Source organism: Homo sapiens, chromosome 7, assembly GCF_000001405.40.
Source record: "Homo sapiens chromosome 7, GRCh38.p14 Primary Assembly".
In the NCBI taxonomy this organism is placed as follows: Eukaryota; Metazoa; Chordata; class Mammalia; order Primates; family Hominidae; genus Homo; species Homo sapiens.
Window position 1 is genome coordinate 788,581 of NC_000007.14, and position 17,278 is coordinate 805,858.

The 17,278-nt window shown below is 48.7% G+C and overlaps 1 long non-coding RNA gene across 1 annotated transcript, besides 1 other annotated feature; it reads left to right on the forward strand.

Moving 5' to 3' along the window:
* The first annotated feature begins 872 nt into the window (after positions 1–872).
* LOC124901567 (uncharacterized) lies at positions 873–9,239 on the forward strand. The gene is made up of 2 exons (XR_007060175.1): positions 873–943; positions 8,523–9,239. It is a non-coding gene; the product is annotated as an uncharacterized LOC124901567 (long non-coding RNA).
* Positions 9,009–9,509: an enhancer, noted in NCBI's record as "H3K4me1 hESC enhancer chr7:837226-837726 (GRCh37/hg19 assembly coordinates)". NCBI's record gives its function as "activates a minimal SCP1, AML or CMV promoter by ChIP-STARR-seq in primed H9 embryonic stem cells {active_cell/tissue: H9 hESC(primed)}" and the evidence as "EXISTENCE:reporter gene assay evidence [ECO:0000049][PMID:30033119]".

Consider the following 17,278-nt stretch of genomic DNA (forward strand, 5'->3'; position numbering starts at 1 on the left):
GATGGAAGAATCACCCGAGCCTGAGAAATCGAAGCTGCAGTTACCCAAGATTGCACTCACTTTTTTTAAACAAGTGAGACCTTGTTTAAAAAAAAAATTTTGTAAATCATAAATGAGTGCATTAATACAACATGTACTTTTTTTGTCTTGCCTCTTTCACTCATCAGTTTTGATGTCCATCTATGTTGGGGTGTCCATCAATAGTTCATTCCTTTTTGCTGCTGCGTAATATTCCATTCTATAGATAAGCCACAGTGTGTTCACCCACTCAGCTTTTGACGTGTGTTTGAGGTCTTTCCAGGTTTTGGCTATTACAAATAAAGCTTCTTCCAACATTTGTGTACATGTCTTTGTATGGATAGGTACTTTCATTTCTCTTGGATAAACATCTAGTAGAATGGCAGTCATGGTGGATGTATACTAAATTTTTAAGAAACTACCATTCTATTTTCCAGAGTGGCGGGACCATTTCCACCAGCCCTGTGCAAGAATTCCAGTTCCTCCCATATTTGCCAACACTAGCTAATCAGTTTTTAATTTTAGCCATTTTAATAGGTACATAGTTGTATCTCATTATGGTTTTAGTTTGCATTTCCCTAATGTCTAATGAGGCTGAGCATCTTTTCATATGCTTATTTGCCATCTGTGTATCTTTTTTGGTGAAGAGTCTTTTTAAATATTGACATGGTTTGGCTGAGTGTCCCCACCCAAATCTCATGTTGAACTATAATTCCCAGTGTTGAGGGAAGGACCTGGTGGGAGGTGATTGGATCATGGGGATGGATTTCTCCCTTGCTGTTCTCATGATAGTGAGTTCTTATGAGATCTGGTTGTTTAAAAGTGTGCCTTCTCTCTCCCGTCGCCATGTGAAGATGTGCCTGGTTCCCCTTCACCTTCTGCCATGATTGGAAGTTTCCTGAGGCCTCCCCACCCATGGAGAACTGTGAGTCAATTAAACCTCTTTTCTTCATAAACAAGCCAGTCTCAGGTAGTTCTTTATGGCAATGTGAGAACGGACTAATACAAATATCTTGCCCATTTAGACAAAACTGGGTTGTGTTCTTCCTGAATATTGAGAATTCTTCATATATTCTAGGTACAAGTCCTTTATCATATATCTATGATTTGCAAATATTTTCTCTCATTCCATAGCTTGTCTTTTCATTATTTTAACAATGTCGTTTGAAGAAGATAAGCTTTTTATTTTGAATGAAGTCTAATTTATCAATTTCTTTTTTAATGGATTGTGCTTTTGGTGTTGTATCTAGGAAATCTTTGCCTAACCCAAGGACACAAAGTCTTCAGTTCCTGAAGCTCAAAAAGCTGTTGTTGCCAGGCACAGTGGCTCACGCCTGTAATCCCAGCACTTTGGGAGGCCAAGGTGGGAGGGTCGCTTGAGCCCAGCTTGGGAATCATAAGGAGACCCTGTCTCTCCAGAAAAAAAAAAAAAAAAAACTAACCTGGCATGTTGGTGCATACCTGTAATTCCAGCTACTCGGGAGGCAGAGGCGGGAGGATCTCCTGGGCCTAGGATGTTGAGGCTGTAGTGAGCTACGATTGCACCACTGCACTCCAACCTGGGCAATCGTGCGAGACCCCATCTCAAACAAACAAACAAAAAGCTCTTGTCATAGGCCAGGCACGGTTGCTTATGCCTGTAATCCCAGCACTTTGGGAAGCCAAAGGCTGGTGGATCACTTGAGGTCAGGAGTTCAAGACCAGCCTGGCCAAGATAGTGAAACCTCATCTATACTGAAAATACAAAAATTAGCCGGGGCTGGTGGTGGGCGCTTGTATCAAAGCTACTCAGTAAGCTGAGGTGAGAGAATTGCTTGAACCCAGGAGACGGACGTTACAGTGAGCTGAGATCACGCCACTGCACTCCAGCCTGGGTGACAGAGTGAGACTCTGTCTCAAAAAAATAAATAAAAACAACTCATCTATTTGTTCTTACCTACACTGTGATTCAAAGGCAATTTCTACTTCCCTTTGTAATCCCCTTTCTGTGACCTAAATGAAGAGCTGAGGTTACTGGAGGGTGGGAGCTGGTTGGTTGAAGAAAAAACACTCACCTTTTTGTAGCCAAAGACAGCCTTCTATATCAGTATGGGATGATCTCCAAAACACATTGTTAATTTTAAAAAACAAGGAGCACAGGCTGGGTGCGGTGGTTCACGCCTGAAATCCCAGCACTTTGTGAGGCCGAGGCGGGCAGATCACGAGGTCAGCAGTTCGAGACCAGCCTGGCCAACATAGTGAAACCCCGTCTCTACTAAAACTACAAAAATTAGCTGGGTGTGGTGGCGCATACCTGTAATCCCAGCTACTCGGGAGGCTGAGGCAGGAGAATTGCTTGAACCTGGGAGGTGGAGGTTGTGGTGAGCCGAGATCTTGCCACTGCACTCCAGCCTGGGCGACAAAGTGAGACTCCGTCTGAAGAAAAAAAAAAAAGGGAGCTGCTTCTTTTGCTTAGGCATAAAAAATTTCTGGAGGGGACAAAAGAAACCAGTTGAACAGTGAGGCCTCTGGAGAAGGGACCTGAGTGCCCCAGGGACTGGAGTGAGAGTCCAGTCTTTACCTCTTGGTACCATGGAATTTACTCCTCTCGGTTCCATGGAATTTACTCCTCTCGGTACCATGGAATTTACTTTTAGTGCACGTATTTATTACCCAGTCAAAAACAACTCTGCTGAGACTAACCTGTAATCGAAGCCTCACTGACACCTGATGCTGTTCTCGGCTCACAAGTCAGCACACTTGTTTCTTCTGTATCACGAACCCCTGTCCCAGGGAAGGGTGTTCAGGATGTCAAAGCAAAAGCTTTATCAGAAAGTTGTCTTGGGCAGGGTGTGGTGGCCCACGGCTGTAATCGCAACACTTTGGGAGGCTGAGGCAGGAGGATTGCTTGAACCTGAAAGTGGAGGCTGCAGTGGGTCTTGATGGCATCATGGCACTCCAGCCTGGGTGACAGAACAAGACCCCATCTCAAAGCAAACAAACAAAACTTGTCTTATTGAGAAATGAAAATGCAGAGACTTGTAGCCAAGTGCTCATAGCAGCTTTATTCTAGCCTCAAATTGGAAAAAACCCAAATGTCCATCAACAGTCCATCTGCAGTATAAACAAACTACAGTCTATCCAGACAACAGAATACGATTCTGTAGTCGAACGACAGGGCACACTGCAACGGAGACAGCTCCCACAGACACCAGGCCAGTGAGGAAAGACTGTATCTCATATAATTTATATGGAACTCGAGAACAGGCAAAGCTGTTCTATAGTCCTTTCTTTTTTCCTCTGAGCCAGGGTCTCACTCTGTCACCCAGGCTGGAGCACAAGGGTGCCCTCACAGCTCACTGCAGCCCCAGCCTCCCAAGCTCAAGCGATCCTCCCGCCTCAGCCTCCGGAGTAACTGGGACTACAGATGCACACCACCACCCCCAGCTAATTTTTTATTTTTAGTAGAGACGAGTTCTCACTATGTTGCCCAGACTGGTCTCGAACTCTCCGGCTGAAACGAACCTCCTAACTCAGCCTCCCAAAGTGCTGGGAGGACAGGCATGAGCCGCTGTGCCCAGCCTACTCCTTTTTAAATCACCGAATCAATGATGACTATATGGAGGCTCTTTATGTTTATTATATTATTCTCTCTACTTGTGTATGTGTGAATTCTGCATGAGTTTTTATAATGAAAAAATCACACTTCAAAAACAGTCACCTGGCTAAGCATGGAAGACACAGGCTCAGCCTGAGTGCTCTTGGAGGCTCTTCTCCAGGTGGGAGCAGGCCGGGCGGTGTCCCTTTTACTGAGCACTTGATTTTCCACTACCAGGTGTCTCCTCACTAGCCTGAGAACTTAGTTAAATTTTCTTTAAAGATAAATCTTTCATCCTAGCCAGAGCAATCAGGCAAGAGAAAGAAATAAAAGGCATCTAAATTGGAAAATAAGTCAAATTATCCCCATTTGCTGATGATATGATCATATATCTAGAAAACCTTCCAAAAAGCTCTTAGATGGGATGAATGCAGTTAAGCTGCAGAATACAAAATCAACATACACAGATCAGTAGTATTTCTGTCCGTTAATAATGATCTAGTTGACAAAGAAATCAAGGCAATCACACTTATAATAGCTACAAAAAAATAAAACACCAGCCGGGCGCAGTGGCTCACGCCTGTAATCCCAGCACTTTGGGAGGCCGAGGCGGGCAGATCACAAGGTCAGGAGATAGAGACCATCCTGGCTAACACGGTGAAACCCCGTCTCTACTAAAAATACAAAAAAAAAATTAGCCGGGCGTGGTGGCGGGCGCCTGTAGTCCCAGCTACTTGGGAGGCTGAGGCAGGAGAATGGCGTGAACCCGGGAGGCGGAGCTTGCAGTGAGTGGAGATCGTGCCACTGCACTCCAGCCTGGGTGACAGAGCCAGACTCCGTCTCAAAAAAAAGAACGAGATCCTGACTTTTGCAGCAACATAGATGGAACTGGAGGCCATGATCTTAGTGAAACAAGCCAGGTGCAGAAAGTCAAATACCACATATTTTGACTCATGAGTGGGTGCTAGAAAATGTGAACACGTGGACATAGAGAATGATAGACAGTGGAGACTCAGAAGGGTGAAGGGAGAAAAGGGAGTGGATGATGTAAAATGACTTAGTGGGTACAACATATGATATTCGGGCGATGGATCCCCAACAGCCCTGACTTGACCAGTATCCAGAATGCAATCTATGCATGTAACGAAACTGCACTGTACCCCACGTTCTTACAGCGATAGAATATTTCTCCTGACTTCTCCCCATTTTCCAGAATTCTATTTTTTTTCTTTTTTTTTTTTGAGACAGAGTCTCGCTCTGTCACCCAAGCTGGAGTGCAGTGGTGCGATCTCGGCTCACCGCTACCTCCACCTCCTGGGTTCGAGCAATTCTCCTGCCTCAGCCTCCTGAGTAGCTGGGATTACAGGCGCATGCCACCACACCTGGCTAATTTTTGTATTTTTTGTTTGTTTGTTTAGTAGAGATGGAGTTTCACCATGTTGGTCAGGCTGGTCTCGAACTCCTGACCTCGTGATCCACCCGCCTTGGCCTCCCAACGTGCTGGGATTACAGGCATGAGCCACCGTGCCCAGCCCAGAATTCTATAAATAGCATTGTCCATCTGATGTCAGAGAGAGAAACAATCCCTGGATGTTACTCAGGCTGGTGGGCTATGAATACCATGGTTTGTTGTTGTTTTGAGACGGAGTCTCGCTCTGTCACCCAGGCTGGAGGGCAGTGCTGCAATCTCAGCTCACTGCAACCTCTCCCTCCTGGGTTCAAGTGATTCTCCTGCCTCAGCCTCCCAAGTAGCTAGGGCTACAGGCGCCCACCACCATGCCCAAATGATTTTTGTATTTTTAGTAGAGATGGGGTTTCACCACATTGGCCAGGCTGGTCTCAAACTCCTGACCTCAAATGATTCACCCACCTGGGCCTCCCAAAATGCTGGCATTACAGGCGTGAGCCACCGCGCCCAGCCTTTTAAAAGCATTTTAAGAGGTCTCAGGCAGTGCCTTTCACAGAGAGGAGGCTGCAGCCTCCACGCAGGCCTCACCCTCTCCGCCTTCTTCCTTTGACCTCGGCATGTCCTTGATGTTGTACCCAAGGGTCTGTGCCGCTCTCCTGTGACTCTTCTTACAAGCAAATGATGGCTCCAGGAGCTGGCCTGGACCCTGAGGCCTAGAACCTGCCCCAAGGGGAAAAGCACCTGCTCATTTGTGTTTAGGCATTTACTCAACGCTTCTCTTAATGTCTTGGAAAGTGTCACTTAGGAGACAAGGCAGTGCTCACTCTTGGCTGACAACAAGGTAACTGTAGACAGAAGAATCTATTATTAGGCGTCTCCATGTTCTCTTCCTAGCTCATTGCTGGCACTGTCATCCTTACGTTAGTTTCCTTATATTTTGTTTTCTTTTCTTTTTTCTTTTCCTTTTTTTTTTTTTTCTGGAGACGAGAGTCTTGCTCTGTTGCCCAGTCTGCAGTGCAGGGATCCGGGTCCAGGGGATGTCTCTGAGCCCCCAATCCTTTACGGGGCCTTTTCCTGGGGTCCCTGTGGGCTCCATCCCGGGATGCAGGACAGAGATGTGGGATGCGGAAGGGTTCCCCGCAGGGATCCAGGTCCGGGGGCAGGAGGAGCCCAGAGGGTGGCACCATCACGCAAAGGCCTCCAGAGGCGTGGCCCGGGACAAGCACAGCGCCAGCCGCCTGCGCTGCCAGGGCAGGGTCCACACCCACAGACTGTAACCTGGACCCGGGCAGGGCGGGGTCCACACCCACAGACTGTAACCTGGACCCAGGTGGGGTCCACACCCGCGGACTGTAACCTGGACCTGGGCAGGGCAGGGTCCACACCCGCGGACTGTAACCTGGACCCGGGCAGGGCGGGGTCCACACCCTTGGACTGTAACCTGGACCCGGGCAGGGCGGGGTCCGCACCCGCGGACTGTAACCTGGACCCGGGCAGGGCGGGGTCCGCACCCGCGGACTCTAACCTGGACCCAGGCAGGGCAGGGTCCATCCACACCCACAGAATCTAACCTGGACTGGGGCAGGGCCTAAACCCAGGGACTCTAACCTGGACCCGGGCAGGGGAAGGGTCCACACCCGCAGACTCTAACCTGGACCAGAGCCTGGGAGGGTCCACACCCGCAGAATCTAACCTGGACCTGGGCAGGGCAGGGTCCACACCCACAGAGTCTGTCTAATCTGCAGAGGACAAGGGTGGGGTCTCCCACAGAGCCAGCCTGAGGGGTGGGTGCACCTGAGGGGTGGGCGCACCTGAGGGGTGGGCTCGTCGCCCTCTGCCTCATGCTGGCAGGACCCGAGAGGCCTGGGAGTGCTGGGAACTGAGAAACAGTCATCACCAATTAAAAGTCCCGCTGCCTTTTATTAACACCATGCGTCACCCTTCTGTACAATATCAGTGAGAAAACACTCGCCTAAAAAAAACCTTTTGTTGCTCTAAATTCTAAGCTGAACAGTTGCTGCAATCGCCAGTGAGTTTTAATACAGCTTCCGATTAGCACATTTTAATTACCCTTTATAAACATGCTCTAAGTGAAAGTCAATTCAGACAATGTCCAGTGAGGCAGTGGGATCCCATCACACACGGACTCACAGCGCACACTACTCCAATATTTAGGTAAATTCATGGCCGGGCGCGGTGGCTCACGCCTGTAATCCCAGCACTTTGGGAGGCCGAGGCGGGTGGATCACGAGGTCAAGAGATCGAGACCATCCTGACCTACATGGTGAAACCCCATCTCTACTAAAAATAGAAAAAAATTAGCTGGGCGTGGTGGCGGGCACCTGTAGTCCCAGCTACTCGGGAGGCTGAGGCAGGAGAATCGCTTGAACCCAGGAGGTGGAGGTTGCAGTGAGCCGAGATCGCGCCACTGCACTGCAGCCTGGGTGACAGAGTGAGACTCTGTCTCCGAAAAAAAAAAAAAAAAAAAAAGACTTTTAGGCCTTCAGTATTTAAAGGAGGAAAGTGGGCTGGAGGGGAAACAGGGACGGTGTGGTCACATTGTTGAATCCTCAAGTTTCAAGAGAAAAGGAACAGGCAGGGGAAGAGCCGGTGCTCCAAAAATCCACTCTTTACAAAAGAGAAGGTGAACCTGGAATGCCTTACCCGTGGATATTTAAACTTTTTTTAATTTTATTTATTTATTTTTTTATTATTATTATACTTTAAGTTTTAGGGTACATGTGCACAATGTGCAGGTTAGTTACATATGTATACATGTGCCATGTTGGTGTGCTGCACCCATTAACTCGTCATTTAACATTAGGTATATCTCCTAATGCTATCCCTCCCCCCTCCCCCGACCCCACAACAGTCCTCAGAGTGTGATGTTCCCCTTCCTGTGTCCGTGTGTTCTCATTGTTCAATTCCCACCTATGAGTGAGAACATGCGGTGTTTGGTTTTTTTGTCCTTGCGATAGTTTGCTGAGAATGATGATTTCCAGTTTCATCCATGTTCCTACAAAGGACATGAACTCATCATTTTTTATGGCTGCATAGTATTCCATGGTGTATATGTGCCACATTTTCTTAATCCAGTCTATCGTTGTTGGACATTTGGGTTGGTTCCAAGTCTTTGCTATTGTGAATAGTGCTGCAGTAAACATACGTGTGCATGTGTCTTTATAGCAGCATGATTTATAATCCTTTGGGTATATACCCAGTAATGGGATGGCTGGGTCAAATGGTATTTCTAGTTCTAGATCCCTGAGGAATCGCCACACCGACTTCCACAATGGTTGAACTAGTTTACAGTCTCACCAACAGTGTGAAAGTGTCCTATTTCTCCACATCCTCTCCAGCACCTGTTGTTTCCTGACTTTTTAATGATCGCCATTCTAACTGGTGTGAGATGGTATCTCACTGTGGTTTTGATTTGCATTTCTCTGATGGCCAGTGATGGTGAGCATGTTTTCATGTGTTTTTTGGCTGCATAAATGATGTTTAACCTTTTATCTGTAGCACCCTGCTGAGGAGCAAAAGGAAAGGCAGTTTCTCACTTGGCCCCGCTTTCAGCTTAATGTTTTCCTTCTGGCAGAGTGAACTGGGGACCTCAGTTGTTATTTTCTTCTCAAAGAGGAAGAAGGAGTTTCAGATGATCCACTCTGGATGTCATGTTTTGAAGGAGCAAGTGTATTACATAAAACACGATCACTCTGTCTCACAAAAAGACTCAAAAAGTAGAAATAAAAGTGAGAACTCCCACTACTTAGTGAAAATTCTCAAAGTGGGGGATACGGAAGGAGACCGCTACTACCCCTGCTGCCCTCCTCCCTGCACCTTGCCTAGTTCACAAGACAGGAGGAGAGAAGAAGCAAAAAGTTAGAAAAAAAAACAAAAGTAAGATAAATAGCCAGACAACCTTGGCACCACCACCCAGCCCTAGGAGTTAAAAAAAGTAATAATAATAACATCAACCCCTGAGCTAAACTACTTGTGTTATCTGTAAATTCCAGGCACTATGAAAAAAGCATTGTAAGACTTTCTGTTCTGTTAGCTGATGATGCTGCCCCCAGTCACGTTTCCCACGCTTGCTTGATGTATCACGACTCTTTCACGTGGACCCCTTAAAGTTGTAACCCTTTAAAAAGGCCAAGAATTTCTTTTTCGAGGAGCTCAGCTCTTAAAACGCAAGTCTGCCGACGCTCCCGGCCGAATAAAAACCTCTTCCTTCTTGAATCCAGTGTCTGAAAAGTTTTGTCTGCGGCTCATCCTGCTGCAGTATGACAGTGAACCACCTGGACAGGCGAGGGCGTCCCGTCAGAAGACCAGTGAGAATGCAGCCAGCACAGGGCCGCGGGGTTCCTCCATCTGCCTGCGGCCCAGGAAACCTTCCAGCCCAGATTCTTTCCCTCCCGGGGCAGGGCTGGGAGCACGGCCCCGTGTTCACCACCCATGGATCCCGCCCCTCCAGGGATGTGCTCACATAACAGCCACTTTGTGCCCGTCCAGACTGGAAGACTTGCCGTCACTGACAGGTGCTCCAGGCTAGCAGCCTCTGCATGTCTGAATGTTTATTTACAGTATGCGATGGCCAGGCACAGTGGCTCATGCCTGTAATCCTAGCACTTTGGGAGGCCGAGGTGGGCAGATTGCCTGAGCTCAGGGGTTTGAGACCAGCCTGGGCAACACGATGCAGCTCCATCTCTACTAAAATACAACAAATTAGCCAGGTATGGTGGCGTGCACCTGTAGTCACAGCTACTTGGGAGGCTGAGGCAGGAGAATTGCTTGCACTCGGAAGGAGGAGGTTGCAGTGAGCTGAGATCACGCCACTGCACTCCAGCTTCGGCGACAGAGCGAGACTCTGTCTTAAAAAAATAAAATTAAAATAAATAAATAAAAGAATGGAACAAAGGGGCCATGTGCAGGGGCTCATGCCTGTAATCCGAGCATTTTGAGAGGCTGAGGCAGGCAGATCATTTGAGGTCAGGAGTTTGAGACCAGCCTGGCCAACATGGTGAAACCCTGTCTCTAGTAAATATAGCCAGATGCAGTGGCTCACGTTGTAATCCTAGCACTTTGGGAGGCTGAGATGGGTGGATCACTTGAGGTCAGGAGTTCGAAACCAGCCTGGCCAACATGGTGAAACCCCATCTCTACTAAAAATATAAAAAAATGAGCTGCTCGTGGTGGTGCGCACCTGTAATCCCAGCTACTTGGGAGGCTGAGGCAGGAGAGTCGCTTGAACCAGGGAGGCGGAGGTTGCAGAGAGCTGAGATGGTGCCACTGCACTCCAGCCTGGGCGACAGAGCGAGACTCCATCTCCAAAAAAAATTAAATAAATAAATAAATAATTTGTTAATAGCTCATTCATCCCACCAGGGAAGAGATGGCTTCCAACAAGAAGACAAGCACTAACAGACAAAATCGGGACCCAGAAGCAAGCAGGCTTGTGGATAGAGCACAGGCCCCGCTGAGGTCCGGCACCTTGAAGGAGGTGGAGCACCAGCTCCCAGGGGCCTCTGCTCCTGACCACACCAAGACCGTCGTTTACAGCAGGGGTCCCCAACCCCCGGGCCACAGAATGTGGCCTGTTAGGAACCAGGCCACATAGCCAGAGGTGAGCAGCGGGCCAGCCAGTAAAGCTTCATTTGTATTTACAGCCGCTCCCATCGCTGACGTTACCGCCTGAGCTCCACTTTGTCAGATCAGCATCAGCATTCAGTTCTCACAGAAGCATGAACCCCATTGTGAACTGTGCATGAGAGGGATTAGGTTTCACACTCCTTATGAGAATCTAATGCCTGATGATCTGTCATTGTCTCCCATCACCCACAGATGGGACCATCTAGTTGCAGGAAAACAAGCTCAGGGCTCCGACTGACTTTACATTTTCAAAGTTGTAGAATTATTTTATTATTGGCCAGGTACAGTGGCTCATGCCTGTAATCCCAGCATTTAGTAGAGACAGGGTTTTGCCATGTTGTCCAGGCTGATCTCGAACTTCTAACCTCAAGTGATCCTCCCGCCTTGGCCTCCCAAAGTGCTGGAGTTACAGGCATGAGCCACCACGGCTGGCCATATATTTTAAATTCTTTATTGAAATAACTTTAGGGCTGGGCGTGGTGGCTCACACCTGTAATCCCAGCACTTTGGGAGGCTGAGGCGGGCGGATCATGAGGTCAGGATATCGAGACCATCCTGGCCAACATGGTGAAATCCCGTGTCTACTAAAATACAAAAAATTAGCCAGGCGTGGTGGCATGTGCCTGCAGTCCCAGCTACTTGGCAGGCTGAGGCAGGGGAATCACTTGAACCCAGGAGGTGGAGATTGCAGTGAGCCGAGATTGCGCCACCGCACTCCAGCCTGGTGACATAGCAAGACTCCGTCTCCAAAAAAAAAAAAAAACAGAAAAAGGAAGGAAGGAAGAAAGACAGAAAGAAACTTTACACTTCTTAACAGAAAAATTGCAAAAATAGTACAGTTCCCATATATACACTTTGCTCAGGTTCTCCTGGTGTTAACATTTTACATGACTGTGGGACAGATATGAAAAGCAGGCATTGGCTGGGCATGGTGGCATGTGCCTGTAATACCAGCACTTTGGGGGACTGAGGCAGGACGCTCACTTGAGGCCAAGAATTTTTCTTTTCTTTTTTTTTTTTTTTTTTTTTTGAGATGGAGTCTCGCTCTGTCGCCCAGGCTGGAGTGCAGTGGTGCGATCTCCACTCACTGCAAGCTCCACCTCCCAAGGTTCACACCATTCTCCTGCCTCAGCCTCCCAAGTAGCTGGGACTACAGGAGCCCGCCACTACGCCCAGCTAATTTTTTTTTTTATTTTTAATGGAGATGGGGTTTCACCGTGTGTTGGCCAGGATGGTCTCGATCTCCTGACCTCGTGATCCTCCCGCCTTGGCCGCCCAAAGTGCTGGGATTACAGGCATGAGCCACCATGCCCGGCAAGGCCAGGAATTTCAAGACCACTCTGGGTAACAAAGCAAGACTGTCTCTACAAAAAGTTAAAAAATGAGCTGGGCATGGTGGTGCACACCTGTAGTGTTAGCTATTCATGGGGCCAAGGTGGGAGCATCACTTAAGCCCAGAAGTTCGAGACTTCGAGGCTGCAGTGGGTAGCAGAATGAGACTCTGCCTCAAATAATGATAATAATTTACAGGACTTAAACCTCTGTCTCTTGTCCCACCAACTTTGGACAGTATCTTTCCTCTGTTCCCCGGAAGATGAGGGTCCCATCCTTTCCTCTTTCTCTCCCTCCCACCCACCTCCCAACTCATAACAGCTGGACAGTTGCAGTTCCAGAGCCAAGGTTACTATTTATAGTTAGAACAGATGGAAAATATTCACCTTTTTCATGGTTTACATGTAGATTGATGCCAAAGACTAAAAATAAATCCGCAGTATTTTCTGATTATGGCTATATATATTTTGAGACAGAGTCTGGCTCTGTCGCCCAGGCTGGAGGGCAGTGGTGCGATCTCGGCTCACTGCAACCTCCACCTCCCGGGTTCAAGCGATTCTCCTGCCTCAGCCTCCCAAATACCTGGGATTACAGGCATGCACCACCGCACCCAGCTAATTTTGTATTTTTGGTAGAGACGGGGTTTCACCATGTTGGCCAGGCTGGTCTTGAACTCCTGACCTCAGGTGCTCCACCTGCCTTGGCCTCCCAAAGTGCTGGGGTTACAGGCGTGAGCCACCACGCCTGGCCTATTGTAATTATATATTTTGATGAGTTTTTGCAAGTATATATAGTTATGTCATCACAATTACCATCAAGATATAGAACATTTCTGTTACCTCTAAAAGTTTTCTTGAGCCCCTTCGAAGTCAAACCACACCCTCGCTCCCGGCTCTGGCAACCCTGAACTGCCTCTGTCACTGTAGATTAGTTGTCTTTTTTATGTAAGTGGAATCATACAGTATGAAAAAACATTTTTTTTTTTTGAAACAGAGTCTTACTCTGTCGCCCACACTGGAGTGCAGTGGCGCCATCTCCAGTCACTGCAGCCTCCGCCTCCCAGATTCAAGCAATTTTCCTGCCTCAGCCTCCCAAGAAGCTGGGATTACAGGTGCACACCACCACACCTGGCTAATTTTTGTGTTTTTAGTAGAGATGGGGTTTCACCATGTTGGCCAGGCTGGTCTTGAACTCCTGACCTCAGGTGATCTGCCCGCCTCAGCCTCCCAAAGTGCTGGGATTACAGGCGTGAGCCACCGTGCGCGGCCGTTCTCTGCTATTTCTGAATCTCCTTGCTCTCGCTGGAAGGAGTCCTTTTGTCTCCTGGTCTCTGGTCCTTCTCTTCTGGGCTGCTGGTTTTCCTGGTGTCTCCCAGTTACGAATGGAGACCTTGCTTCATCCTCCAGGTAGCTCACCTTCCTCTCCGGCCTCTCTCAGAAACAAAGAGGTTGACGGGAAGCCTCGTGTCCAAGGGGAGGGTTTCCAGGTGTCCAGCCTTGTGAGGCGTGGAAAGGGAAGAGGCATTGGGAACCTCGCCAGATGCCAGACTGAGGAAGGAGTGGCTTGGGGAGCCTGGCCCTCTCGAAAGCCCTCTGGAGCAGTTGCTCCGTGGATCTGGTTCCTTGACTGGGGACGCTGGCCAGCCGCCAGTTGCCCCGTGGCCTCGGTATGGAGGATCATGGGTTCCAGCCGGGAGCTTTGTTTAATCCCCACGGTGCCAGCCCCACCCCCAGACTTGCCACGCGCAGCCTCAGAGGCCGCCTCCACTCAGCTCCGGGGTGCCTATTCTTGTCTGGTGCTTCCGCCTGGCCCCTTCAGACACCCCCCACTCTACTGCTTCCCCACTCCCTGAATTCCCTCCCCCACCCTCCCCACCCACCAGTCAGTGCCGTGAGGCCCCGGGTGGGGAGGAGAGACACTGCCTGGGCCCGGTTCTTCTCCCGGTGAGATCTCAACTTCTGTCTGTGGACAGGCGAGACCTCCACGTGTGCTGTTAGGTAGAAAAAGCAGATTACAGGCTGGACGAAGTGGCTCACGCCTGTGATCCCAACACTGTGGGAGGCTAAGGCGGGAGGGTCGCTTGAGCCTAGGACTTTGAAACCAGCCTGGGCAACACAGTGAGACCCTGTCTAAGACCAGCCTGGCCAACGTGGTGAAACCCCGCCTCTACTAAAAATACAAAAATTAGCCGGGCATGGTGGCGTGTGACTGTAGTCTCAGCTACTCGGGAGGCTGAGGCAGGAGAATCACTTGAGCCTGGGACGCGGAGGTTGCAGTGAGCCGAGATCGCGCCACTGTACTCCAGCCTGGGTGACAGAGCAAGACTCCCTCGAAAGAAAGAAAGAAAAAAAGAAAGAGAGAGAGAAAGAGAGAGAGAGAGACAGAGGAAAGAAAGAAAGGGAAGGAAGGAAGGAAGGGAGACACAGAAAGAGAAAGAAGGAAAGAGAAAGAAAGAAAGAGAAAGAGAGACAGAAGAAAGAAGGAAGGAAGGAGACAAAAGAAAGAGAAAGAAGGAAAGAGAGAAAGAAAGAGAAAAAAAGAGGAAAGAAGGAAGGAGACAAAGAAAGGAAAGAGAAAGAAGGAAAGAGAAAGAAAAAGAAAGAAAGAAAAAGAAGGAAGGAAAGGGCAGATGACAACAAGGCATCTCCAGCATCCACTTTTATGAAAATACACATATATGTTCATGGGAAAGTCACAGAACAAACAAAAATGTTTACAGAAGTCACCTCTCGGTGATAGAGTTGAAGTGATCTGTGTTTGTTTAAAACTTTTTAAATACTTCTGTGTGTTTTCTAAAAAACTTTTTGTTTCCTCTCGGGAGCCAAAACATAAACATTGTTGTTAGGAATGTGGCAGTTTGCATCGTGGCTGAGGCGTCGGGTTGTGGAATCACTGGGATCTGGATTGTTTGTTTGTGACACGGTTTCCCTGTGTCACCCCAGGCTGGAGTGCAGTGCTGCCGTCACGGTTCACTGCAGCCTTGAACTCGTGGGCTTGAGTGACCCTCTCATCTCAGCCTCCTGAATAGCTGAGGCCACAGGTGTGTGCCATGACGCCTGGCTAATTTTTTCTTTTCATATATATATATATATTATTATACTTTAAGTTTTAGGGTACATGTGCACAATGTGCAGGTTTGTTACATATGTATACATGTGCCATGCTGGTGTGCTGCACCCATTAACTCATCATTTACATTAGGTATATCTCCTAATGCTATCCCTCCCCCCTCTCCCCACCCCACAACAGGCCCCGGTGTGTGATGTTCCCCTTCCTGTGTCCAAGAGTTCTCATTGTTCAATTCCCACCTATGAGTGAGAACATGCGGTGTTTGGTTTTTGGTCCTTGCTATAGTTTGCTGAGAATGATGGTTTCCAGCTTCATCCATGTCCCTACAAAGGACATGAACTCATCATTGTTTATGGCTGCATAGTATTCCATGGTGTATATATGCCACATTTTCCTAATCAGATTAAGTAGAGATGGGGTCTCGCCATGTTGCCCAGGCTGGTCTCGAACTCCTGGGCTCAAGCAATCCTCCCACCTCAGCCTCCCAAACTGCTGGGATTAGAGGCATGAGCCTGCACACCTGGCTGGATCTGGATTTTTGAGTGTTACCTCCCACTTAGGAGCAGAGTGAGCGTAGACAAATCGTTTCTCCGGGCCTCAGTGTCCTCGTGTGTCACAGAGCTGTCCGACTGTTCAGTAAGATTGCAGTGCAAAGAGCCCTGAAAACTGCTGGCCCACAACAGGAAGCGCCCAGTAGACCACGGCAATGACGACGCTTCATCTTCAGACAGAAAAGAAATGGTCAGGCGGGCACAGTGGCTCGTGCTTGTAATCCCAGCACTTTGGGAGGCTGAGGCAGGAGGATCGCCTGAGCCCAGGAGTTTGAGGCTGCAGTGAACTATGATCACACCCCTGCAATCCACCCTGCATGATAGCGAGACCCTGTATCAAAAAAAAAAAAAAAAAAAAAGACAGTGTTTGCCCCAACAAACGCCAGGCTTTATATTCAGACTTTAATATTCAGACTTGTCATGTAATTTCCTCTGAACTCCCAAATAAACAAAACGTGAAATAAATAAGGCTGGCCAGGCTGGGTGCGGTGGCTCACACCTGTAATCTCAGCACTTTGGGAGGCCAAGGCACACGGATCACTTGAGGTCAAGAGTTCGAGACCAGCCTGGCTGACATGGTGAAACTCCATCTCTATTAAAAATACAAAAAATTAGACGGGTGTGGTGGTGCGTGCCAGTAATTCCAACTACTCACGGGGCTGAGGCAGGAGAATCGCTGGAACCCGGGAGGCGGAGGTTGCAGTGAGTCGAGATGGTGCCACTGCACTCCAGCCTGGGCAACAGAGCAAGACTCTGTCTCAAAGAAAAATAAATAAAAATAACAAAATAATAACAAAATAAAAAAGAAACTGTTAAAAACAAAACAAAGGGCCGGACGTGGTGGCTCACGCCTGTAATCCCAGCACTTTGGGAGGCCGAGGCGGACGGATCACCTGAGGTCGGGAGTTGGAGACCAGCCTGGATGTGAAACCTCATTTCTACTAAAAATACAAAAAAATCAGCCAGGCGTGGTGGCGCGTGCCTGTAATCCCAGCTACTCGGGAGGCTGAGGCAGGAGGCTGAGCTTGAATCTGGGAGGCAGAAGTTGCAGTGAGCCGAGATCGCACTATTGCATTCCAGCCTGGCAACAAGAGTGAAACTCCGTCTCAAAAACAAAAAAAGAAAGAAAGAAAGAAAACAAAAACAGAGTCGGGACACTCGGAGAGTCAGCGGAGCTCCTGGCAGCCCGAGCCGCTCTGCCCCCGCCTGGGGTTTGTTTTCCAGAAGGCGTTGCCTCCACTGAGGACCTTTCTGGAGGACGCAAGTCATAAAAACGTCCCCACCCTTGACCCAGCAGTTCCACTTCCGGCAATTTATTCTAAGGAAACCCCAGGACAAGAGGGCAAAGGTGAGTTCAGGGATGTTTCTCGGAGCGTGATTAACGGCGAGCTGGACGGGACTGAGCGTGTTCATTCTGGGGAGAGCTGTCTCCAGTCACGGCAAAAGGCAGCAAGGCCAATTTACTCAGACAAATGAAAAAGCCTGGTCACAAAAGCCAGTCTGTTGTGACTCCATTTTGTCTAAGGAAAAGAAGTATGTTGGCCGGGTGAAGTGGCTCACACCTGTAATCACAGCACTTTGGGAGGCTAAGGAGGCTATAGGTGCCCACCACACCTAGCTAGGCAGATTCCTTGAGCCAGGAGTTTGAGACCAGCCTGGGCAGCAGAGCAAGACCCC